This window comes from Homo sapiens, chromosome 2 (genome assembly GCF_000001405.40).
Source record: "Homo sapiens chromosome 2, GRCh38.p14 Primary Assembly".
Lineage (NCBI taxonomy): Eukaryota > Metazoa > Chordata > Mammalia > Primates > Hominidae > Homo > Homo sapiens.
The window spans coordinates 78,081,667-78,107,653 of NC_000002.12; the positions used below are offsets into that span (position 1 = coordinate 78,081,667).

Sequence of the window (25,987 nt, forward strand, 5' to 3'; positions counted from 1 at the left end):
TGTTGATTATGGCCCAGATGTTATCCAACCATTATTATCTACTTTCTATACCCATATCTTCTCTTATCTCCTTGACATAATGTTGGTTGGATAATTTTCTCTAACCGCTAAGTAGCTCCACCTTGTTCTCTTGAAATACATATTATCTTTCTTAGCATTTGCAATCATTTAGTCAAAAACCTAAGCTAAGTCTTTTGCTGCTGTTTTCAACAAACTAATGCAATTCATTTCTTGCTACGTTTTCCATGATTTAGATTTTCATTTTATAAAGCTCACAATACACAGTAGCTAGATATATTGAATCTATCCTTCCTTGCCTTTTTACTTTTACTTTATAATTTTTATTTCTTTACATATTTGCATTTTTCTCTGGTACAGACTCACTACATATTGTTTTAAATTTTAGGGTATTCTTTTATTTTGTCCCAAATACTTTTAAAAATAAGCAAATATTTGATTAAAAGTTTTAAATAATTATTAAGTTTCATAATAAGTTTATCAATTAGCTTTGTTTTGTTTCTCTTTCTCAAATTTTCTATCTTTCTGATAATATTTAGCATCCTAAATAATTATAAATAAGTATTTACATGGCTCAAAATGTACTTGATATTAGGAGTGGAGAATCACTTTCATTTCTTTTGAATTAAACAACTTTATTTTTAAGATGGATTTAGATTTACAGAAAATTGAGTAAATAGTACAGAGAGTTCCCAAAATATTCCCTTTCTTTCCTGTTCACAGTCTCCCCTATTATTAACATCTTGCATTAGTGTGGTACATATATTGTAGTTGATAAACTTATGTTGATACATTATTATGAACTAAATTTTACAGTTTGCGTTAGGGTTCACTCTGTGTGTTATATAATTCTATGAGTTTTGACAAATGCATAATATCATGTTTCCACAATTACAGTATCATAGAGAGTAGTTTCACTTCCTAAAGACTATCCAGTGCTCCATCAATTCATCCCTCCTCCTTCTCCCAAAGCCCTGGTAACCACTGAACTTGTTCACTGTTTCTACATCTTTGAGATGTGCGTGACTTTGACAGATGTCATATGGTTAGATCATGTAGCATGCACTTTTTTTAGACTGAGTTCTTTCCCTAAGCAATATGCATTTAATAGTCCTCCACATCTATTTGTGATTCAATAGCTCATTTCTTTTTATGAATGAATACTATTCCATTGTACGGATGTGCCACAGTTTGCTTATTCATTCACCCTTTGAAGAACATTCAGTTGCTTCATGTTTTTGAAGATTATGAATAAAGCTGCTATAAATATTTGCATGGAGATTTTTGTGTAGATATGACTTTTTAACTCATATGGATAGATATGTACGGGCATGATTGCTAGATAATATATAAAGATTATGCTTAGCTTTGTAAGAAACTGACAGACTGTCTTTCAAAGTTGCTCTACCAGTTTATCCAATTTCTATGCTTATCCACCAAGTAGTCTTTAAATTTTTGATATGATAAACAATGATATAGCATACATCATTTTAATGACAAATTTGTTCACACGCTTAAATATGTTTTTAAGACATCCACATGTTTTCAGACATGAACTACTAGTCAAATATTACACACGTCTTAAGGTTATTTACATGTATTTAAGAATCATCATATAATAAGCTTAACCAGTTTTTATTTCTGCTCATATTTATAGCTTAGAAAAAATAGCCCTTGATTAAGGAATTTTGAAGGATTTCATGATAATAGCTTCTAAAGAAGGAAATTATAATAAAAGTAATAAATCAGCTTCTATAGCATGAGAATGAGTATTGCCCAAAAACTCAAACATGTGCTGGTGGGATAAATGAAGTGGGTTATGATGGAACATTTCTTATTCAAGATGACTGCAAATTCATAAGGTAAAGTAGAACTCCTAATATAAACAATAAAAAATCTGGAAGCTGAGGTAAACAGAAAATTTCTCAGAGATATGATGTACTTCTATCCTATTTTGTTATGATCATGAGATTAGAATGACTTTGAGGTCATGGTCATAAGATAAATATGAACACATTGGTATGCTCTGAACTGTGCCTAACAAAGCCATGTTTTGCCATAATGTTCTGTGCTTTAGAGACACTTGTGAAATAGTATGGCATTAAGAGGTTGATTTGCTGTGAAATTGATTGTTTCAATGGAAAGCACACATTCACACACCTACACCAAGATGAAGTTAAGTTCATTTCCTGGTGGCATGGAGAACAGCTCTTGCTGAAACAACAAATCTAAGGGTTGAGAACTGGCACTGATAATGTCCACGTCTCAGATAAACCTTCTCATGTGGAATAAGGTTGTGCCTCTTCGTGCATTCCATAAAATGATCAGACTTTCAGGGGAGCAATTCTGCAGTTCAGTAACATCAAACAGGACTTTCTTATGTTATAGATGAACACTAGAGCATAGTAACATTATGCTGGGTTTTGCCTCCAATTATTTGGAGCTAGATAGTTAAATGAATAGACAGATTAAATAGATAGATTAAATGAATGACTTGGAATTGTTTTTGTGTGTGTGTATGTGTGTGTGTTAGTGTGTTACATACGTGTGTTAATGCACATACATATGTATTTACATATTTAACAGATTTAAAGCATGTGAGACTCCCATAACATATAACTCATTACTCTATGAAACTCAACGATAAAAAAGAATATCTAACTTTCTGCATAAAATTTAAAGTTCAAAACAGAGACTAAAATAATGGCCATTATGTATTAAAATAAAGTAAATGAGATAATACAAAAAGTAGTGATAAAACTAACTGTTTTAATTTCAGCTATTCTTCGAGGAGAGTGATAAATAAAGAAGGAGGAGCATAGGCAGTAATCATAAAGTCTTCACAAAGTAACTTCTGTTTTTTTTTGTGATATTTCACCTATTTTATACACTTGAAAATGCCTCTGGGAATTAATTCTGATTCTTCAACATTTTCCCTGAATATATAAAATTAGAAAAAGCCAGAGTTGGTGATTTATGAGAGAATTAGGTAACATCTCTTGTTGTCCATTGAATATCTAAACAGAAAAAGATAAGATATATGTTTTAAAAGTATATGTAATGTTGAAAATGTATACTCTAAGTGAAGTCCAGGTGAAGCATCTGCTAGATATTCTGGACAGGACATAGATGAATTGAATTCTATTAAATGGAGGTTAAAAAATTGTGGAAGATTAACTTGAATTGGAAAATGATAAATAAAAGGGATAATGAAGGTTACATTAGTTGTTTTTATAAACAATTTTAAATAGAGCATCAAATGTGGTATGGACTGAATTGTGCTCCCTTAAAATTCACGCTGGAGCCCTGTTTGCCAATGTGATCATATTTGGAGGGGCGATTGGGAGTTAATTAGGTTTAGATGAGCTCATGAAGGTATGGTTTTAATGATGGTATTAGTACCCTTACAAAAAAAAGATACCAGAATGCTTGCTCTCTCTCACTCTCTTTCTCTCTCTTTCACCCTCTTTCTCCTCTTTCTCTCTTTCTGCATGTGAGGACACAGTGAGAAGGCATCTGTGTACAAGGAAGGAAGCAAGACCTCACCAGAAACCAACCATGCCAGCACCTTGATCTTGAACTTCTAGCCTCCAGAGCTGTGAGAAAATAAATTCCTCTTGCTTAAGACACCTGATCTATGGTGATTTGTTATGGCAGCCTGAGCTGAGTAAGACTATATGCTATACATAATTGCAATACACGAGAAAGTTGAGGTGTGTATGTATGTGTTTGTGTGAGCACATGTACAAATATGTTGAGATAGAGACAGCAGGCAATGAGAGAGAAAGATAGGGAGAGAGAGAGAGAGAGAGGGGGAGAGAGAGAGAGAAAGTAGCAAGCAAGCCATGAAAAATAATATTTTTCCCGGTATTTCCTGAGGTAGTGCCTCTGATACCTGTATGTTTTAAAGTGGAATAAAAATAGAATTTTAGTCAGGGTTCTTCACAACAACCACAAATCCATTGTTCTGGCCTGCTCTATGCAAGAGTTTGGTGTTTGGCCTAGTGAATTCACTACATTGTGTTAAGAAGGAAGCATAAAATGAAGATTTCCTGTCCTGTGTAGCAAAAGAATCTTGTGTTATATCATTTATCACACTGTAATATATGCAAAATGCTATTTAGAAGCCTATCTTTTTTTCAACTTTTATTTTAGATTCAGGAGATACATGTGTATTTTTGTTACCTGGGTATATTGTGTGATGCTGAGGTTTGGAATATGAAAAATCCCATAACCAAGGTTCTGAGCATATACCCAATAGTTTTTCAACTGTTTCTCCCCTCACTTCCCCCGCCCCAGTAGTCCCCAGTTTCGATTGTCACCATATTTATGTCCATAAGTACCCAATGTTTAGCTTTCACTTACAAGTGAGAAGATGTGATATTTGGTTTTCTGTTCCTACATTAATTTGCTTAGGATCATGGCCTCTAGCTGCATCCATGCTGCTGCAAAGGACACCATTTCATTTTTTATGGCTGTATAATATTCCATGGCATATATGTACCACATTTTCTTTATCCAGTCCACCACTGATGGACATCAGGATGGTTCCTTGTTTTTGCTATTTTGAGTAGTGCTGCGACGAACATGTGAGTGCATACATCTTTTTGATAGAATGATTTGTTTTCTTTTGGATATATATCCAGTAATGGGATTGCTGGGTCTAATGGTAGCTCTGTTTTAAGTTCTTTCAGAAATCTCCAAATTGCTTTCCAGAGTGAAGAAGCCTGTCTTTTAGATAATTTTCATTTTCCCTACTTTAGTATCCTGATTGATATCTGTATTTGGTTTTAGATAGGTAATTTGATTTGAAACCAACAAACAAGAGTATGCCTTTTCCATAATGAATGTTCTATCATGCCAGAATTAGGTCTTTTAAAATATCACTTTTCAAAAGGCCATAGTTTTGAAGGGTTATGGAAGAAATGTTCTGCACTGTTGACCTCTAATATGTATCTATTTGGGATCTCAACCACTTACTACTTTTATGCTCAGCATACGTTATTATAAGGTGCCAAAATTAAAAACAAAATTCCTTCATATAAATTAGTGACTAAATACCATAGTTCCAAATTTAGCATGTGCTAAGGTGACAAACTGCTGAAGTATTGTAGAATAAATGATAAAGAACTATATCTTTGGAGGCAAATATATCTACATTTGAATGCTGTCTCTGTGCCACCTGCTCATGTGATCTTCACAAGTTTAATGAAAAATGTACATAGGTATTTTGCCCAATGACTGGCATTTAGTCACTGCCCACTTAATGTTAGCAGATGTAGAAGTCTTTTAGCCTTAGAAATCGGAAGGATATTTATTGTTTCTATTTGCTGCAATGCACTTTTTCCCCTCAACATATGCAGAAATTTATTTCCAAAATGAAGGGAGATAAGGAGGGAAGGGGAAGGTAGTGGTACTAACCAAAGTCATCAAACCCAAGCTGCAACAAGAACAAGTCACTTTGGTTCCTGGAGCCAAACTTGAAGAGGAAATAGGCAGAAAGGAAGACAAAATTGTAAGAATATATAGTCAGTGGGATTCTTTTTCTATCTAAATGATTTAGTTATAAATATAGACGTCTTCCCTCTATGCATGTAACAAATACAAAATTCACTACCGTGAAATTTTAAAACTGAACTCTTTCACATTTGTTAAAAAAGTTAAAATCACATAATTTTCTTCCCTTCAGTTTCTGAACTATTACATGGAATAATGGCTAGTCCTAACTTCTATACACAGTTAAGCTATATTAAACTCCTTTGACAGTATAAGGAGCTACATAATTTCTATCACACTTGCCTTGAATTTAGGCATGAGAAAAATTTCTTGAAGCGACTAAAAAGGAGCAAGTCAAGAAAAAGGAAAGCTATAAAGGAGACAAAAAGAAGACTACCAGATGAAACAATTACCCTGAAAAACTCATGTATTTTATTAAAGGAGTACAAATACCCCACAAATGACAATAAATGTAATCTATTACAACAAAGTAAGCAAAATAAAGTGCACATATCAAGCATGATAAATGGCCCTAATAGGCTATCTGCTGAAAGACGTAAGGCTCGAGATTAAGTCCACCAAAGGGTCCAAATTCCTTTTAGACCCTAAAGAAAAGGTTCTGCAATGCACTTTTATTTTTTTCTTTTAGTCTGTAAATTGTTGCATTGCACTTTTAATATACAAATGTATGTATACAATATTTCTCACGTATGCATTTAAGAAATATTCATTGTGAACCTACTATTCCAGATACTGTTATAGGCATTAGATTTATACACACACACACACACACACACACACAGAAATCAGCAAATTTTCAGAATCATTCTGGGCAGCACCCACTGGATTGATTACCAATGCTTCCTACATACTATTTGAATGGTCCTTATTTTCCATAAAATAAAGAGAAATGCATAGCTCAAAACATATCTTTACAATAATAAACTTCAAGATTTTCCTAGATAGTTGCAAATTTGAATATTATGTGTGATCAGACCATAATTCATGTTTCATTGTCAATTTATATCTTATGGTTACCATTCTTTTATAGTACAAACGCAATACAAATTTGAAATAATTCCTTTGTTAAAAAAATTAAAACCTAAAACAAAATTTAATTATGTAAAAGCAAAAACTGCAGTGATTCCAATAGCAATATTCTATTATAAATATTAGAAATCACATTCTTCTCTTGGTTAGAGTGACCTGAGTATTTTTTTCTCCACATTTAGTATCAAATAATCTTATTGGCCTGATATAGGGCATACATGTGTATTTACATCTGTGTGTATTTGGACACATATAAATATGTGTATATATTAATCATTATACACACACACACACATACATATATATATATACATATGCATTTAAGATGAGGACATTGAGACTTGAGGTGATAGGTGTTATGGTAATAGTTGAATGGTATGCCCTTTATTAAATAATTGTCTTTCAGCTCCAATCCCTCTACTTTCCACTCTGTTTGGCAACAATGGGCTTGGAACTTTGCAAATCACACTTCAACATCACCAGCTGCTCACATTCTTCCAAGAGATACCAGAAGGGAAACTGGGAAGCTGGAGGAGAAGGGGAGAGGACCATGCCTTCCCTGTGTGTTTCCCGTTAGTGTTAGCAGCACCTCAGTTTCTGTGTGTGTGTGTGTGTGTGTGTGTGTGTGTGTGTGTGTGTTTTGTGGCAGTTTATTTCCATCGCATTAGTTGCAGTGTATTTTCTAAAAGTCTTCTGCAGTTTTTTGTACCTGGGGTCGGAGAGGGCTAGACAGAAGAGCTAGGAATAAAAATATGTGGAGTACTAAGTCAGAGTGGAGAGAAGGGTCCTCAAGATCCCCCTCCCCTCTTCTACCCCCATAACGAAGTGTTTGCAGAGGTGCCTGAGGAAGGCCTCAGACAAGGGGACCTCCAAATGAAGGCACGTGGGATAAGAATGCAGATATTTGTCAGGGCACAGCTGACCATATGGGTCTGAGTTTTTGCTGCAATGCATTCGCTGTATGCTAAATTCAATGTGAGGTATATAGCTTTGCTCCATGAGGCCTGCCAGGCCAATCCTTTGTGATTGCCTATGGTCAGGCCTGAAAGATCACCCATGGGATTTTAGCTGTACTACTAGTTCCCTCATGTCATTTTTGAGTCGATTTATAGACCAAACCTCTCCCAAAATCCTGCAACCAGTGTGCGTATTTTTCTTCACTGTAGATTAGCTTTGCCTTTCCTAGAACTTGATGTGAATATAATACTAATGTCAATAGATATGGATAAATTGTAATTACAGGATAGGAGAGTAGAAATAAAATGAATGAGCAAAGTTCATGAGAAAGTAAAAAGAGAAGGCATCTAGAGCTCAGATTGAGGGATTGGAATAGTTATTTTATTAACAGCAAAATTGGAAGAGAAGACAGATGGAGTTGAAGATAATTTCTAAAAAGAAACTTAATATCACCTGAGATTATCATTCATATAATTCCTTTGATGTTCAATATATTATATTTTATTAATGATTTTCTGATTGCAAACCATCCTGTTGTACCCTATTTAGTAACTATTATTATTTACCCTTCAACTTTAAATGATAAAGGTTGATGCAGAAATGCTTATCTGAACCATATTGTAGAGAAAAAAATTAAATCCTCAATGAATTGAGAGCATGTAAAAATTATGAGGAAAGAAAAATACCCTAGGAAAAAACTAATCACATGAGAAAAGCTGGACGCATTTTAAAATAATTAGTTAATACATATAATTTAGACGTCTGAGTAGTTAATAATGGTAGAGATGTTGAAACTGTCACCCACATTCATATGGGTGAAAATCACCATGTTTACTAGCAACCTATGGATGCACAAATTGAATGAATGAATGAATACAAATGAGTATTATTTATGTATATATGTGTGTGTGTTTGTCCCTTTTGGTAAAGTAACTTCACATTTAGGAACTTATCGTACAGGAGTGACAAGAGTCTGCTCATGTTTTCACCTGCAAGAATGTTGATTCACATGCATATTTAAATTAGTAACACAACTAAAAAGCTCTCCTGAGTTCAACAATGAAAACACAGTTAATAGTATAATAATACAGATAACTAAGTGATCGTGATGAATAGATCTTTGCAGCCTATTGTTAAGTGAAAAAACTCTAAAAATTATGTATAATATAAACCCATTTGTATAAATGTAAATATAGGAAGAGTTTGAAATCTTATAGCCAAATATTTACAATCACCATCTCTTAACTGGTGAGATTACATGTGAGTTTTAGATTTTTCTTCCTGTTCTATTTTGGATAAGGTTATTTAAATTTTCCTCAGTAAATATATATTACTTTTGCAATAAAAATAATCTGCATTTCTAATAGTTTATAGTTTGTTTCTTCCCATGTTTCAGTTGTTATTTTGTGTTGTAACTATCACTCAGAGCCCTTTGAGACTCCAGTTATAGCAGAACAAGTTTGCAACTGCGTTTCACAGTGTTAAAGTCCCTCTGGTTATTCTGCTTTATTGCTCTAATAGTTTAATGTCAACCCTTTTTCATAAGAAAGATCTATCTTGGGTATTTCAATCATCTTGCAAAAAAGGAAAAGCATATTTTTTTCATGAAAGATTGAAAATAAATACTGGCTTTATATAAGATCATAAACTTGTTATCTTTTTTCTTTTTTGTGTGGGAAAATGTCAGAAAATTGCAATAGTAGGACTAAAGTAATAAATTAAAATATAACTAGTAGAATAATATAAAATGTTAAATATATTATTTAAAGCAGAATAACATAGTGAGAGCTACCATATAAGAAAAACTTGGATTTAAATTCTTACCTTTTCATCTGATAATCAAGTGATCTTAAAGTGATTACTTAACATATGAATATACCACAATAACCTCTAAAATATACAAATTTTCCTGCCTTTTTTTGTAGGAAGAGAATGAGACTTAAATGAGTAATGTGTAAGGACTGATACATTGTAAGGATGCATTTATTATTACCTATACTTAATTTTTTTATTGTTCAACCAGAAACTATATATTGCCAGATGGTAAAACATATTACCAGATGGTAATATGTTCTATGAAGAAAATAAACCAGACAACATAATAGATAGTGAATGAGAATTAGCGTTGGAAGAGATTTGAAGAGGCTGACTTAGACTACTTGAGTTCATCAGAATTTAAATATGCTCATACCTACCATCAAGTGTGATCCCACCAAGTGTCAAATACTTCCACACTGTGACAAGTAGTATTAATAACAAAAGCCAATATATTACAAAGTTTTTCTACGTGCCAAACTGTTTGTAAGATTATTTGCTTTAATCCTATATTAGCACCAAAATTGAACTATAATATTGACACCACAGACTTCTGGACAAAACCAAATGGAAAAGTCCATTTCATGGAAACGACGAGTAGAAAGGTGACCACCAGAGGCTGAAAGGGAGGCAGAGAGATGGGAAAAGGGGGAATGCTGATCAAAGGTGTTAAATTACATTTAGCCTAAAGTTGCTTCCGTAGGTATTTTAAATTTGACCTAAAGTTTCTCTGTACATAGTGAACTGTAGCCTAATTGGATATATAAACAGATTGTAACTTACTCTTGTACCTATTACCAAGTTTCAGGCAATCAAAGGCAGCCAGCTGTTCAAACCATATTTAAATAAAGCAAATGCCATGCTGTAACCATTCCGGCTGTTTCTCTAACTCACTTGTATTTACTGTACGTCTCTTTCCTCTTTCTGTCCATAAATCCTCTTGGACCACACGGCAGTACAGAGTGGCTTTGAGCCTCCACTGGTTCTGGTCTGCTTGATTCACAAATCATACTTTGCTGAATTAAACTCTGTCAAATTTTATTTCTCTAAATATTTCCTTTTAATAAAGTTTCACTTAAGCTGGAGGACAAAGGGTGATCCTTTGCACTGCATCACAACCAAATTTAACAATAAAGTATTGTATATTTCAAAATTACAAAAGAATAGTTTTTAATGCCTTCACCACACAAAAAAATAATAGGTTGATGAGGTGAGGAATATGTTAATTAGCTTTGTTAACTCTTTGGACAGTGAATACATAGGTCAAAATTTTATACCCCATAAATATACACAACTAGTTTTTGTCAATTGAAAAAAACTTAATAAATATATTTCGGTTCCTACTGCTTCATTTTCATCACATTTGACATGAAATTACGAAGTGGCAAAATTTATTTTGTGGCAGTGAACTATAAGTAAGCTCTCTACCTATACCCAATTAAGCCATGGTTAAGTAAAGAGAAAGTGCACAAAGAGTTGGCCTGAAGTTTAAGACATATGAAAGCAGTCTAACAATGTTTAAACCAGCACTGAAGGAATATGAGAACATAAATTTTTTAAATTTAAATTCCATTTAATTTTTTAAATTTAAATTAAAATTTTTTAATTAAAAATTTTTTATTACAAAAAATTATGTATACATAAATATCCTCCCAATCTATATTTTCTAAAATTTAAAGTTTATTGTCCACTAGATGATGACAGAATTCTTGTTTCAAATTTAAGTTGGGGGTCAGGTTGATGGGCATGGTTCTTAGCCTAATTTTTTAATTTCTCAGAAAGTTTTTCAATACAAGACTACTGCACTAAACTGTTCCTTCTAAGTTTAAAACTTGGCTCTATAATACACTATACTAGTGTAAAAATAAAAGGTAAAGATTCTACCATAAATGACAAGGAGGAGAACTTTTGCTGTAGTTGCTTCTGCATAGAATAGTTTATTTATGGTGAAACCATCCCATAGAAAAATGTGACATATGAAACTTACTCATTCTTCCAGTCTCCTTCTTTCTTCATTTTTCTTCTCTGGAAGTTGCTGTATTTGAGTAGTTTATAAAGTTTAAGGGTTGAGGGTGAATGGGATGATTGGACTTCACCTCTAAAAGAAACATCCAGTGCAGTGCAGGATAGCTGTCCCACTATCTCAATGCAGTTTCTAAACTGAGGTACCTATAGTGCAGGAGGGGCTTTCTTTCCTATGTGGGATGTATTTTATGTATCAAGGTGTAAATTGGGCTTGAGGTGAAAACAATTTCACGTAATATAACTCCATTAGCATTATTAATAGCCTATTACCTCCACAGCCCCTCACACACTTTTTGTAGGTTGACTATCAGTTTGAATTTCTTGGTAGGATTGTGTTTTCATCGTGCTGTACTTATCAGTATTTTAAAGGACACTTTGCAATAGCTACGTATGGGTGTGTTGGTCATTCTGCAAGTAAATCTGGAATCCTTTTGGAGATTACAATATAATATACCTAAAGTACTATTTTTTTTTTTTCAAATTACAAAGAGACAAAAGACAAAGCCTTTTGCTTCTGCTATAAATAGGACACCCTCAGGAAAGCTGGAGCTTCTAATTCTTCCAGTGATGGAACTCAGCATATGTCTGAGGAGCAGAGAATTCAGAAGCTCCCATGGGCCTCCCACAGCTGGAATCTAAGTAAGAAAATGAATTCCATCCCTCACATGTTTTAAAAATGCAAAAGGATGCTGACATTCTAGTTATAAAAGTTATCCAGGCTGTCAATTTTGTGACTTTAATGTATTCAATATTCCAAGAAAATGCTTCTTGGAGTCTGGCACCTGCAAATACTGATTTCTTAAATCTATGTTTTAATGCTGTGTTACAGAAATCGTAATTACAACAATTTCAAGCAAGTAGTTGTACTGAATGATATGTTCACTACCCTTTACATTTAGAAAGAAAATATTTCTGAGTAGGTAAATATTGCTGTTCAATCCCATTGACAGTTTGCTTTATGAATTTGAGGTGGCTTATGAAAATGTCCCTGAATTTTGAAAGCTCTTTTATAGCCTCTGGATAACTTTTACTTTCACAGAGCTTTCTACCTAAACTGCTAAGTCCATGATACAATATGTTAAAAATAAACATTAGTGAAATATTGAATTTCAAAATTATTATATATAGTTACTAAAATATTATCTTTTTAAAATATAATCCTTTTGTACAATTTTTGCATTAGTTACTACATTTTGCTTCTATTATTTATAGCTCCTAGCCATATAAAGCTTTCTTCACACTGGTTTTTCACACTTAAGAATTTTCTTCATTTATATTTGTTTTAAGGGACACCTTTTTTTAAATTTCAAATGTTATCACTTACAGTTATATACTTATTTGTCTTCAAAGTTTCACTTCTTGGTCAAATAATGGACTGTAATTTGGTTTTTATATTCATCACTAATATTTGGATTTTATCTGTCAATCTATTTATATATGTGGTTTAATCAATAAAATGCAAAAGACTGGTCATTACTCATCTTTCTAGCAGATAAGTTGAATAAATAACTTAGAATCTCAGAAGTTTACTTTAGCAAATTTTCTTCAGATTCAAGAGGACATCTAATTAGAAGTTCATGACACACCCTATCAATTTGTTTTTCACTAGAACAACCACAGAAGTCTCAGAAAAGAGAATATAAAAGCATACAACAAAATAAAGGACTCATAAGAGTACAGGGATCACATACATGAAGTTGAACAATGTTCGGTTTTAATTCTTCACAATTATCATTTGTAAGATTGTAGGTAAGTTTATTTTTCTAATACTGGGTTTGTATTTTTAAAAAATGCAGATAAATGGCTGGGCGCGGTGGCTCACACCTGTAATCCCAGCACTTTGGGAGGCCAAGGTGGGTGGATCACGAGGTCAGGAGGCAGAGACCATCCTGTCTAACACGGTGAAACCCTGTCTCTACTAAAAATACAAAAAAAAAAAAAAAAATAGCGGGGCGTGGTGGTGGGCACCTGTAGTCCCAGCTACTCGGGAGGCTGAGGCAGGAGAAAGGCATGAACCCGGCAGGCGGAGCTTGCGGTGAGCCGAGATCGCGACAGAGCGAGATCTCTAGCCTGGGCGACAGAGGGAGACTCCGTCTCAAACAAAACAAAACAAAACAAACAAACAAACAAAAAAAGCAGATAAGTAAATATCCACTACATTAGGCATTGTGAAGAACAAATCAAATACTGTGTAAAACTTCTTTGAAACAGTGCCTAACATGTACAGCACATCAATAAATAAGGATTTTATTGATTATTTTAAATTAATCTTGCAACAATAAAAACAAAGAGATTAGAAGACAAACTTCTATTCGAATCTGGGGGTAAATTTCCTTACTTAACCACTATAATTAAAATTGAATTTACGATTGAAAACTGATATTGCTAAATTCTGTCTTACATGTGAAAAAGCAAGTCTAACATGCTAAAGAGTGGTAAAGGGTTGCCTCTTCTGATACCCACATTACGTTTCGCTGATCCCAGTCTTACAGTTTTTATAACCCCAAATCTGAAGTGCCTTTTATTTATCTATATCTATATGTATATCTATCCACCTAGATCTATAGTATATTTTTTTTGAGGTCACCATACTACAGTTTTTCTATCTAGCATATCTCTTTCTGTTTACATGCAAGACAACAGATCACATGTGGGAGATGCTTGAAGTGGAGAAGTGTGTCTCCAAAAGTGTGATATCTACAATGAATCATTTGGAAAGAGTCCTCAGCAAGCTGTGGTGTCTTATGCCTGTAATCCCAGCAGTTTGGGAGGTCGATGTGGGTGGATCGCTTGTGCCCAGGAATTCAAGATCACCCTGGCCAACATGGTGAAACCCCATCTCCACAAAAAATACAACAATTAGCTGGGCATGGTGGCGCATACCTGTAGTCCCATCTCCTCGAGAGAGGCTGAGGTAAGAGGATCGCTTGAGCCTGGAGGTTGAGGCTGCAGTGAGCCATGATTGCACCACTGCACTCCAGCATGGCCAGCATGGGGGACAGAGCATGACCCTATCTCAAAAAAAAAAAAAAAAAAAAAAAAAAGAGTCTTGATGCAAAGAGCACTGATGGTGCTTTAAGCTTTGGATTTCGGATTTTCATGTACCTATTGATTTATCATAACAATCAAATTAACCATGGAGTCAGGAGAACATTAAGCCTAAGCCTCAATTTGGCAGAGCTAGAATAGATAAATAACTTGAAGTCATCATCAATTGTACTACGCAACAAAGTGTAACTGTCCTTTGGCATTAGGGCTAACAAAGAGATTCATACACACACACACACACACTATATATACATATATATATATATATATAGTGTGTGTGTATATATATAGTGTATACAATATATATTGCTATATATATAGTATATAATAATCCCTTTGTTAGCCCTAATCATGCCTTTTGTTAGCCCATATATATACAAAATGCTCAACAGCACTAATCATCAGGGAAATGAAAATCAAAATGAGATATCACCACAGCCCGCTTAGAATGGCTATTATCAAAAAGACAAAAGATATCAAATGCTGGTAATGATGAGAAAAAGAGAACTCGTCTGGGCGCGGTGGCTCATGCCTGTAATCCCAGCACTTTGGGAGGCTGAGGCAGGCAGATCACGAGGTCAGAAGATCGAGACCATCCTGGCTAACAAGGTGAAACCCCGTCTCTACTAAAAATACAAAAATTAGCCAGGCATGATGGCACGCACCTATAATCCTATTTACTTGGGAGGCTGAGGCAGGAGAATCACTCAAACCTGGGAGGCAGAGGTTGCAGTGAGTGGAGATCGTACCACTTCACTCCAGCCTGGGTGACATAGTCAGACTAAATCTCCAAAACAACACACACACACACACACACACACACACACACACACACACACACACACAAAAAAAACACACACAGACACACAAAACTACTCATCAATAAAAGGAAAATGCTTCTAATTTATTAAATACAACAGTCCAACTTAAATATATAGTAAACGCAACATAAATGACAGAGCTTTTTAAATCAAGCTTACATTGTAGTTGTTTGAATATTTTTACATTATCTAATCATACAATTTTGAAGCCCATGCCCCTGCATGTAGTATACTGTAGATCTTATGTACATATTTCATATATCAGCATAATGATATATACAACGTAGAATATAGAATAATGCCTACTGCTTTTATGTACATAGGCAAGTAGTTTGCATGTAATGTATAAAGATTATTTATGTAAACTACAAATGAAAATTAGTGGCATTAGTTTTTAACATGTTCTACAAAAATTGGTTCTTTTATGTTTTGTTTTAATTTAAAAGCAGAGAAATGTCAAATCAAAAAGGTGTGTTTTTCAAATTAACAAGTATTTTCTACACATGGACAAAGAAGAATATTTGTTAATTACAATTAATTATTAATTACACAGTCAGGTTAAACATAAATGTCCTTGGTATAATAAAAATCAAACATTCCAAAATTTTACCCACATTTAAATATAGCTGTGATGAATGGAAAAAGACACAAGGTATAAACAAGATTTTTAGAGCAAGGAAGAAAACATCCAAGTTTACAGGTTTCACCCCAATAGCAAAAGGATTCTTTTTGCCAGGGTTAGCTGACACAAGCAAAAAGCAATGCAATAGCCATCAATCTGCCTTGAACAAGATCTATTGTCTCCTTTGGTTGTTATATTTTAGTAGACTTTTTCAAAACTGAATTTTTCAGGAAAACTGAACATACACATTAAATTTACGTATTTTCCTCCTTGTTGTTTTCATATGTTAAAAGACTTTGACTAAGACCCCAAAAACAATTTTTCAAAAACCCTGGCTAATTTTCACTTATTTTGCAAAAACGAAAGTTTTCTATCATCTTCACCCCATATTTTCTTCCAAGACAAAGGGTTTCACTAAGTGAATGAATCTAACATATATCATTCAACATTTTTATTATATCATGCCACCCAACCTCACTCATTATGCTCTTTGCATGATCTAAACATTCAGTTCCCCAAAATTAAAGCCACTGCCTGCAAAATACTGTCTTTTGAGAAGTACAATTAATGAAATGTTTTTTAAATGAATGTACGTGCATTTATGGAAATGGGACTTTTCTTAGAAATAGTTTGTTGCTTGAAAAGTATTCAGGATTCTTTTGTGAATGAATTGTGCACACAGATGGAACATGAATAAAAAAAGATAGCTGTTGATAATCATTTATATTAGAACCTGACTGTCTGAAATAATGAAGTGAATTAAGAAAATAAATTGTCTTCAGAATGTACAAAATACAAAATTGAAGAAGTATAAATACCCTCCATGTGTCTCTACTACTGTCAAATATAGAGGGCACCTTCCCTGAAAAACTAGCCTTAATATTCTGGTTAACTTGGGAAGTGTGCACTGAGAGAGCAGACATGGCGGGGTGGCCTATTGGCTTGATTACTGAGGTCACTTTACTCCTTATCTCTGATCTGAAGAGGTGCAAACGACTTTCTGAACATAAAATGACCAAGTATTTGGATTTTCTGCAGAGGAGACAATTCAATCGAAATTCAGTGAATGTCTTTTTATTTCTATGATAGGTAAAGTGAAAAGTTCTAAGTTTTTAAAGATAAATTGGTTCCATTGCTGGCCTTAAAAAAATGTTCACAAATTGTTGCTGGCTAAGGGCAATCTGGAATGTAGCTAAAAATGTGATAAGTGCTTATGAATAGGTGCTGTGGGAGCACAGAAGCAGCAGCAATTAATTATGCTTCGAGTAAAGAGAAATATTTTACAAATAAAGTGGGAAGTCAACTGGGACCTAGCTAATGAGAAGAATCTTGCCAGGAAGGTAAGGGGAAGCTTTCTAAATAAGAGAAAGACAATACAGTATCATCTTTAATCATCACAGCTTGTATTATCCCCACTTTGCAGGCCAATTTATTGAGGCTCAAAGACCTTGTTCAAGTTCCTTTTTTAAGTTACGATGAAAAATCAGATTGTAATGAAATGCTGTTGATCCCAAATATAACTTTCTCAGCACTTCTTTCTGCAGTTTCAGTTAATAATACCAAACAGACAAATGACAATATGTATGAAAATTAAAAGACAGACTAATATACATTTATTTTCATTGGAGTGGAATGGCTCCAGAAGAGCAAAGCCACAATAGAAAACTCTGCTCTGGGTAAAACAGCAAAAAATTTCTGAGTTCAGGAGATAAAATTGTCTGGGATCAAAATGAAGTGGTAGAGAAAACATGGACCCTGGTTTGGAGACCATGGAGGAAACAGAAAATGCCATGATCAGTTTAGTGTTGAATGTACAAAGAAAAGGCAGTAAAGCTACATTTCTGTAAGTGCTAGAACTTACTACTAGGACAATAGGAACTCAAGGGGCAAGTTGCTAAGGAAGTGAGAACAGCCAATGGATGCCACTAATACTTAACATAGCCCTTGTAAAATTCCATAAAAAAACTGATAAAGAATTGCAAACATTGAAAAAGAGAAAAATTATCATTCCTCTCCAGAACACAAGGGTGCCTTTCTAGAATGGCAACAAAGTGATATTTTAGCTTATAAATTAGTAAATAGGAGTCTTTAATACATAAAACCACATCTGTCTGCCACAAAGTATATGTTTCACTTTCCCAGTATCCCTTCTTTTATAAGCCAATAAATTTCTTTCTTTCTTTCTCTCTCTCTCTTTAATTTTTTCCCTGGTGATCTTACTTTAACACCCTTGATATGATATATTTGTTTACCAAGAATAACTTTTATAAGAGTAAATGTGCATAAATATTTTTGGCTATATCAGTATCTGTAAAGTATGCCTATAAAGATAAAAACTATAATTCAATAATACAATTAATATTGTTTTCTTGAACTTCAATTCATAAACATAATAATTATTTTATATCTTTTAGTTGATAACTATACATTATGAAATATATGGTGTAATTAAATTATAGCAATCTCTCCAAATGGAGTTCTCTTTGAGACCTCACATAATTAGAATCTACTCTTAACTTTAAAAGTACCACAAAGGCCAAAAGTTCTTCATCCCCAGATGTAAGATTAACTGGAGATTTGTCTTCATGAACAAATATCTCTCTTACTTACAACTTCTATTTTGATATTTCCTGACAATAAGAAAATATCTTTACCAGTATTCTGAGCTTAGTAGGTGTGCATTATGTGTTGGCTTCTTTATTTTTTCACTTTCACTTCTTTCACACACATTTACTACCTTCCAGTCTATACACAGAACACCTCTTCGTGTGATGACACGCATTTGAGGATGTGAACTGTAGACTTTAGTTAATAATAACATATCAGTATTGGTGCATCAATGGTTAAAAAAAAGTACCACAGTGATGCAAGATGTTAATAGAGGAAACTGGCTGGGAGTGAGATGGTATAAGGGAACTCTGTATTCTCCACTCAAATTTTCTGTAAACCCAATGTTGCTTTAAAAAGTATGTGTGTGTGTATACACACACACACACTTTATTATATAGGTAATATATACTTTGTAATATATACTTTATTTTCTATATGTACTTTTATATATACTGATTTATATATACTAATTTGTATGTAATATATGTTATGTATGATATATAATTATATATGTAAATATAATGATTTTAACACATTCCACCAATTTACATTTAGTGTGTGTGTGTGTGTGTGTGTGTGTGTGGAAATGAGAATAGAATTAAAATGGTTTCTACACAAAATCAACTAAACAAAAGAAAGACAATAATGGAGGGAAGGAGGAAATAGTTGACAAAAAGGTAAAAGACATATGGAAAGCAAAGCAAAATTGAAGTTTTGTCTTTCATTATCAGTAATTATTCTAAATGCAAATGGTTTGAACTCTAATCAAAAGGGAGAAATTGCCTAAATGAAAAATGAAAAACAAATATGATTACACTGTGTCCTATCTACAAGACTCATTTCAAATCTAAAGACATATATAGATTGCAAGTGAATGGATAGGAAAAGACATCCCATGCACATGGTAACAAAGTAAGAGTTTGAGGTCACTCTACTGTTATCAGACATAAAAGACTTTAAGTCAAAAACTGTTGCAAAACACATAGAAAGACATGCTGAAAATAATGCCAATTCATTAAGACAATATGACTATTTTTCAGCTTTACTGCAGTGTAATTGCCAAAGAAAACTGTACATATTTATGATGTTTTGATATATACATACACTCTGAAATGATTAAATCAAGCTAATTAACCTATCGATCACTTCACATATTTATCACGTTTTGTATTAAAAATATTTAAGGTCTACTATCTGAGAAGTTTTCAAGTTTACAATGTATATTATTAAACATAATCACAATGCTCTTCAAGCTTATTCCTCCTCACGGGAAACTTCTATTCTTTGACGAACATCTCTCCCTTTCTATCCCACTACCCACACAATTTTCTTTCAACCACATTTCTACTCCCCTTCTATGAGACTGAAGTTCTTTAAGATATTTTAATACACAAACATTCCCTAGGATAGAACATATGTTTCCAGAATAGATCACATGTTAGACACCAAACAAGTCTCAGTAAACTTATTAATAAAAAGATTGAAATCCTACAAGTATCTTTTCTGACTATAAGAAAATGAAAGAGGAAAACAATAACAGAAGGAAAACTTGAATATTAACAAATACATGGAAATGAACAACTCTCTAAAACAACCAATATGTCAAAAAAGAAATAATGATGGGAATTAGAAAATAAGATGAATAAAAACAAAAAATGCAACATGCCAAAATTTAATAAATGTAGAGAAGGCAGTGCCCAGAGGAAAATTTATGAATACAAATAACTACATTAAAAAAGAAGAAGAAGTTTAAATTAATCACCAAACTTTATACCTTGAGCCACCAGAAACAAACAGAAAATTATACCCCAAAGTGGCCAAAAAAGAAATAAACAAACAAAAATAAGAATACAGTGGGGATAAAAAGAAAGAACATAAATACAATAAAAGAAACCAAAGTTGGTTCTTTGAAAATACTTTTTAAATAATTAACAAGCCTTTAGCTAGACTGACAAATCAGAAAAGACAAAAATAACTAAAATCAGAAATGAAAGTGGGGTACAGTTATTGACTTTGTAAAATAAAAAGGATTATAAGAATATATTACGAATAATTGTATATCAAAAAATGGATAATCTAGATGAAATAGAAACTATCTTATAAGCACACAAATTGTCCAAACTGACTCAGAATAAATAGAGAACAACAGATCTATAATAAGAGATTGAGTCAGTTATTGAAAACCTCCCAGTAAAGTCCAGGATCAAAAGATTTTACTGTGACCTTTATTAAACATTTTTAAAGTAACACTAATATTCCTGAAACGCTTACACAAAATAGAAGAGAAAACACAACCTAACTCATTCCATGAGTCCAACGTTATTCTGATACCACTGACGAGTAGAAAATATTGCAGAAAGTAAAACACTCAATTAAATGGAAAGATATTTTATGTTCATTGGTAGGAAGACAATATTTTTGTGTTAATACCACCCTAAGTAAGCTCTGGCCTCATGCACTCTCTATCAAAAATTTAACAGCCATTTAGGCCTGAATGAAAAAGCTTGTCCCCGAATTCATACGGAACTGCAAAAAACTTCAAAAACCCACAACAATTTTGAAAAAGAAAACAAAGGAGGATTCATATTTCTCAATTTCAAAACTTTTTACAGAGCAACAGTAATCAAAGCAGTGTGAAACTGGCACAAAGATTAGAAACAATATATTAACTCATTAGAATTAAAAGTCTTGAAATAAACCCTCACATATACGGACAATTGATTTTTTTTTAAAAGATAGTTATGTTTCCCAGTGAGAAGGAGAACTATCCTCAACAAATAATACCAAGATAACTGGATTTCCACAAGCAAAAGATTTAAGTTGAACCCCACTTTACACCTTTTTCAAAAATCAACAAATGCATGAGCTAAACCAATAAAACCCTCAGAAGAAAACCTAGGCATAAAACTTTATGTCCCTGGATAAAACAATGGATTTGTTGATATATCACCAAAAAAGAAGCAACATTAGTGAAAATAGATGAATTAAGATTCATGAAAATTGAAAACTTTTGTGCATCAAATAAAATTATCAAGAAAGTGAAAATAAAACCTATTAGGGATTTAAAATATGTATACATTGTATATTTTTTGAGAGCTTAATATATTGAATGAAGTACTCTTACAGGTCAAGAACAAAATGACAAAAAAACCCAATGAATATTAGGCAAAGGACTTGTATAGACATTTTTCCATACAAGACAAACAAATGCTTAATAAGAACATGAAAATCTTCAACATCTTTAGTCATTACAGAAATGCAAATTAAAACCTCAAGGAGAAACCACTCACACCTCATCTCCTAAGATGGTTATTGATAGCAATACAGGCAGGAGGTAGACAAATCCTAGGCAGACAGGGGTGGGTCCCAGTGAAACCCAACCTTCAAGTTGAAGGCAGTTTGAAGCCTAACTACAAGTCTTGGGTAAATCCACAGACCAGACTGAGCACCTCTATCCCCATTTGGTGCACTTTTTTTTTTTATTGCTCCCCACCCTGCACCTATTTTACATATACGTATCCTTCCCTAATTGTTTTTTTACACTGTCATGTGCACCTTTGAATGATGGCTTTCTTTTAGCCTCTTTTGCATACTTATAAACCAATCAGCATTAGCACACTCGCATTCTGAGCCCATAAAAGCCCTGGACCCAGCCACACTGAGGGAGAGACCACCTGACCACATTCCCTCTTCACTAAGAGCTGTTTCATCACTCAGTGAAACTTTTATCCTCTCTCCTCACCCTTCGATTGTCAGCATAAGCTCATTCTTCTTGGACTCAGAACAACAACTCGGGACCGTGCTGAACACAGGTACAAAGAAAGCAGTAATGCTGTGGCCCTCCACCCTCCACCAGCAGAAGGGGGCTGCCCCACTCCATGGAAAGCAGTGCTGGGGCTGAGCCAACCCAGGTGCCTCAGGCCAGAGTGGGGTGACAGGACTGACAGAGCTGTTAACTTGCCACTGTGTCTTGGGCTGTGGACAGTGGGACTAAAAGAGTTATTATTCACACTGTAACACCCACTCTGGGACTTCTGGGTCATGGGCTTCCCTGCTTGAGTGCCTTCACGTTCCCCTTGTCTAGATGCTAGAGTCCACCATGGAAGTCACTTGCAACATGCTTGGTCAAGCTGTAAGCCCTGCATGGAACCCACTCCTGTGCCAGCACTTGAAGCAGCTGGCCAGACCCTTCACTCACTTGCCCACACACCCTCTTCATCTGGGGGCTGAGCTCATAATCATGGTGGCTGCAGGATTCATGCCAGAGTGCAAACTAGGTGTGGCCCAGTGGCTGAGTGGTTGGGGCACCTCCTGTGGAGAATGTGGGCCAAGCAGGGGCATTGCTGGCTGGAAATCTCCAGCTGGAGGTCTCAAGCTGGCAAAATGGCTGAGAAAAATCCTACATCATTTCAACAACTTAAAAAAATTAAAAAAACATAAAAGGAAAATAACAAGTTTGGGCAACTCCATGAAGATATTGTGTTAGTGTTAATATAAAATGGAGAAGCCCCTATGTGGAATAGTTTAGAGGTTTTTCTTAAAAAACCTAAACACGGAATTACTATATGACTAAACAATTCCACTTCTAGTATATACCCAAAGAATTTGAAAACAGGAACTCACGCAGTTACTTGTATGCCAGTGTTGATGAGGATATGGAGAAATTGGAAACTTTGTGCACTGTGGTTGAGAATGTAAAATGGTTGCAGCCACTACAGAAAACAGTGTGCTAGTCCTCAAAATAAACAACAACAAAAAAAATTAACACATGATACAGCAATTCACTTCTGGGTATATATCTAAAATAATTTAAAGTAGATTCTCAAAGAGATTTATGACACTGATGTTCACAGCAGCATTATTTACAATAGCCACAAAATTGAAATAACCCAAGTATTCATCAACAGATGAATATATAAATATAAGGTGGTATATATAAATGATGTGTTATTTAGGCTTAAAAAGGAGTGAAACATCCTATAGTATGTATGATCCTTGGAAATATTATGCTAAGTAAAACAAGCCAAACACGAAAAGAAAAATATCATATGATGCCACTCATGAAATATCTAGAACAGGCAAATTTGTAAAGACAGAAAGTAGATGAGAGGTTACCAAGGGCCATGGGATTGGAGATTGGGGGGTTTTGCTCAATGGTTATGAAGTTTCTGTTTGGGATAATGAAAATATTTTATAAATAGATGGTGATGGTGGTTGTATAAGATTCTGAGTGCACTTAATACCACTGAATTGTATACTTAAAATGGTTGCAATGCTAATTTCATGTTATATATATTTTGCCACACAAAAAAATCAAAATACATAAAGGGACTATGAGTAGATTAACATGCTATTGTTAAAAAGAGAATGGGCATTAAGCATCTGGAGTTTCAAATAATAAAAAGAAAATTTTTCCATAGATGAATTGTTTATGGGTAAGAAATGGGCAGATTAGTCTGAAAATATAAACATGGACTTGAGGGTGAAAGGTCTTGAAGGTTAAATAAATATGAACGTGGACTTGAGGGTGAAAGGTCTTGAAGGTTAAATACGGTCTTCAGGGTTCAGTCAGTGAGAAGACAATGAAGGTTCTCAGGATGGAGGGTGCCAGGTTCTAACTGAGTGGGTAAGTGGCAGGTAGCTGGAAAAACACTCAAGGAATCATAGACAGTTTTGACATGGATTTACTATCTCCCTGGGTACAAGCAAGCCGTATATATGGTGTTATCAGGATAATTATACCTTTTACAGACAATAATGGCTCCAAGCCAAACATGAGCTAACATGGGTGATCATCTAATGTGCCTCACATAGCATGCTTACATAATGTGTGGGGTTGTATGCCTGCACTCCAAACTTGCTGAGTTATGCTGCATTAGAAGGCTGCTTCAGCCTACTCCTGACTAAAGCACAGCCATTCCCTTACACTCCAACCTCTAGGCTGAGGTTTTCCTCTGGGCAGGGACACGAGCCAATAGGGCGAAGCCCTGAATCCATAACCCACAACAACAATACAGACAGCAACAGCTCACTAACAGGATCCAAGCTATGCAACTTATGACTATTAAGGCCTAGCATAGGCCAGAGCCTAGGGATTCCCACCATCTCTGCAGGGAGTCGTCAGTAAGGCTCTTGACCACCTTAATCTCTCATGAGTCCCCTTGCAAGGCTGCTGTTATATTCTGCCAATTGTCAGGGATAAAGGTACAACATTGTGTTCCTAAAAGGGCACAGATGCCTTCTTGGGCAGCAATTATTATGTCTAAGGCCATTCAGTTTTGCAACATAACATTTCTGACCTGGTCAACCTCATCTTTTAACAAGAGGAGGACCACTCAGGTGTAATTTAGAATCTGAGCGGTATGCTCTGCAAGAGCAGTAACTTGTGCTTCTACTATTATGGCACCTGCGCCAGGGATAGTCATTGCCAAGGGGTAGAATCACCAAGGGGCTCATCACACTCACAAAATCCAAGAGCATTGTACCTCCTCCCAGTTATGTGGGCATCTGGGCAACATGGGGAGGACAGTGGCAGGTGCATAAGGCCACCCTCAGGTACATCATCCAGTTCAATCCACTGGTAAGTAAGTAAGCCACCCTTTGTCCCAAGAGACCCATAAACTCCCAGGGGGCACAAAATCTATCAGGGCCTGACCTTGGTGGGGCCACTCGTTCCACCATACCTTCAGTGTGGCGACATCTGTTATGTTTACACAGGCCACGATGGGTACCCGCCCCACAGTGGTGTTGCCCCAGTGTTGCTCTATGCACTGTGGTGCCTGGGCTGGGGGTACCACATGTTTCCCAATTAGCTAGCCCCACACATCATAAATGCTGTGGGCCAGCCAGGAGGCAGGCATGCATGCGTCTTGTGGCATGCTTTGTCCAAAGCTTGTCACATTGCATTACAGGCATTGGCCATGGAACCCCAAGTCTCCAGCCATCTCCAGTTCTCTGCAGGCACTGAATGTATGTGCTAAGGCAAGCCATCTGCAGCTGCTGCTTGAAGGGAGGTACAGATACAACAGTTGGAAACCTTGGTCACCACAGCAGAGGTGTGGGGCCAATCCACAATGCAGTTGGAGCATGTTAACTTATGGATGAAATGACAGAGAAGACACAGGTACTAATGGAGATAAATCACATCCCTCAGGCAAAATACAGGCTAACCTTTCATCCCTGGATAACAATGCAGCCTCTAAGGGCTTCTGCCCTGGGCAATGGTACCACACCTTCTCAGCTCCCATGGTTCCTTTAAGTCCTGTGTCTATGCCAAAGTCATGGGGGAGATCATAATAAGCCACACAGACAGTACATATGTCCCCTAGAGGAGGGATCCTTCCCTGGCTATTCCCTATAAACAGTCAACCACGGGGGCCATGCACTGAACACCCAAGGAGTGACATGAAAGTCATGCTGTAGATTCTCCCCACAGGCAGCTACGATGGCCAACCACCGGCAATGGGGGCTTTGGAGGGTCCATGGCCATGGCCAGGTTTTCTATTCCCCTACCTGCAAGGGCATT

At 35.1% G+C, this 25,987-nt stretch overlaps 2 long non-coding RNA genes across 2 annotated transcripts in view; one reads left to right on the plus strand and one right to left on the minus strand.

The window, feature by feature from the left end:
* LOC101927967 (uncharacterized) overlaps positions 1–25,987 on the minus strand; it is a 547,036-nt gene that overhangs the window by 337,971 nt on the left and 183,078 nt on the right. The gene's annotated exons all lie outside the window — the stretch shown is intronic.
* Positions 7,064–25,987, plus strand: part of LOC101927948 (uncharacterized) — a 39,077-nt gene continuing 20,153 nt past the window's right edge. Inside the window, exons 1-4 of the long non-coding RNA NR_110287.1 lie at positions 7,064–7,125; positions 11,851–12,000; positions 12,971–13,110; positions 25,374–25,585. This is a non-coding gene — a long non-coding RNA (uncharacterized LOC101927948). The remainder of the gene's footprint in view (positions 7,126–11,850; positions 12,001–12,970; positions 13,111–25,373; positions 25,586–25,987) is intronic.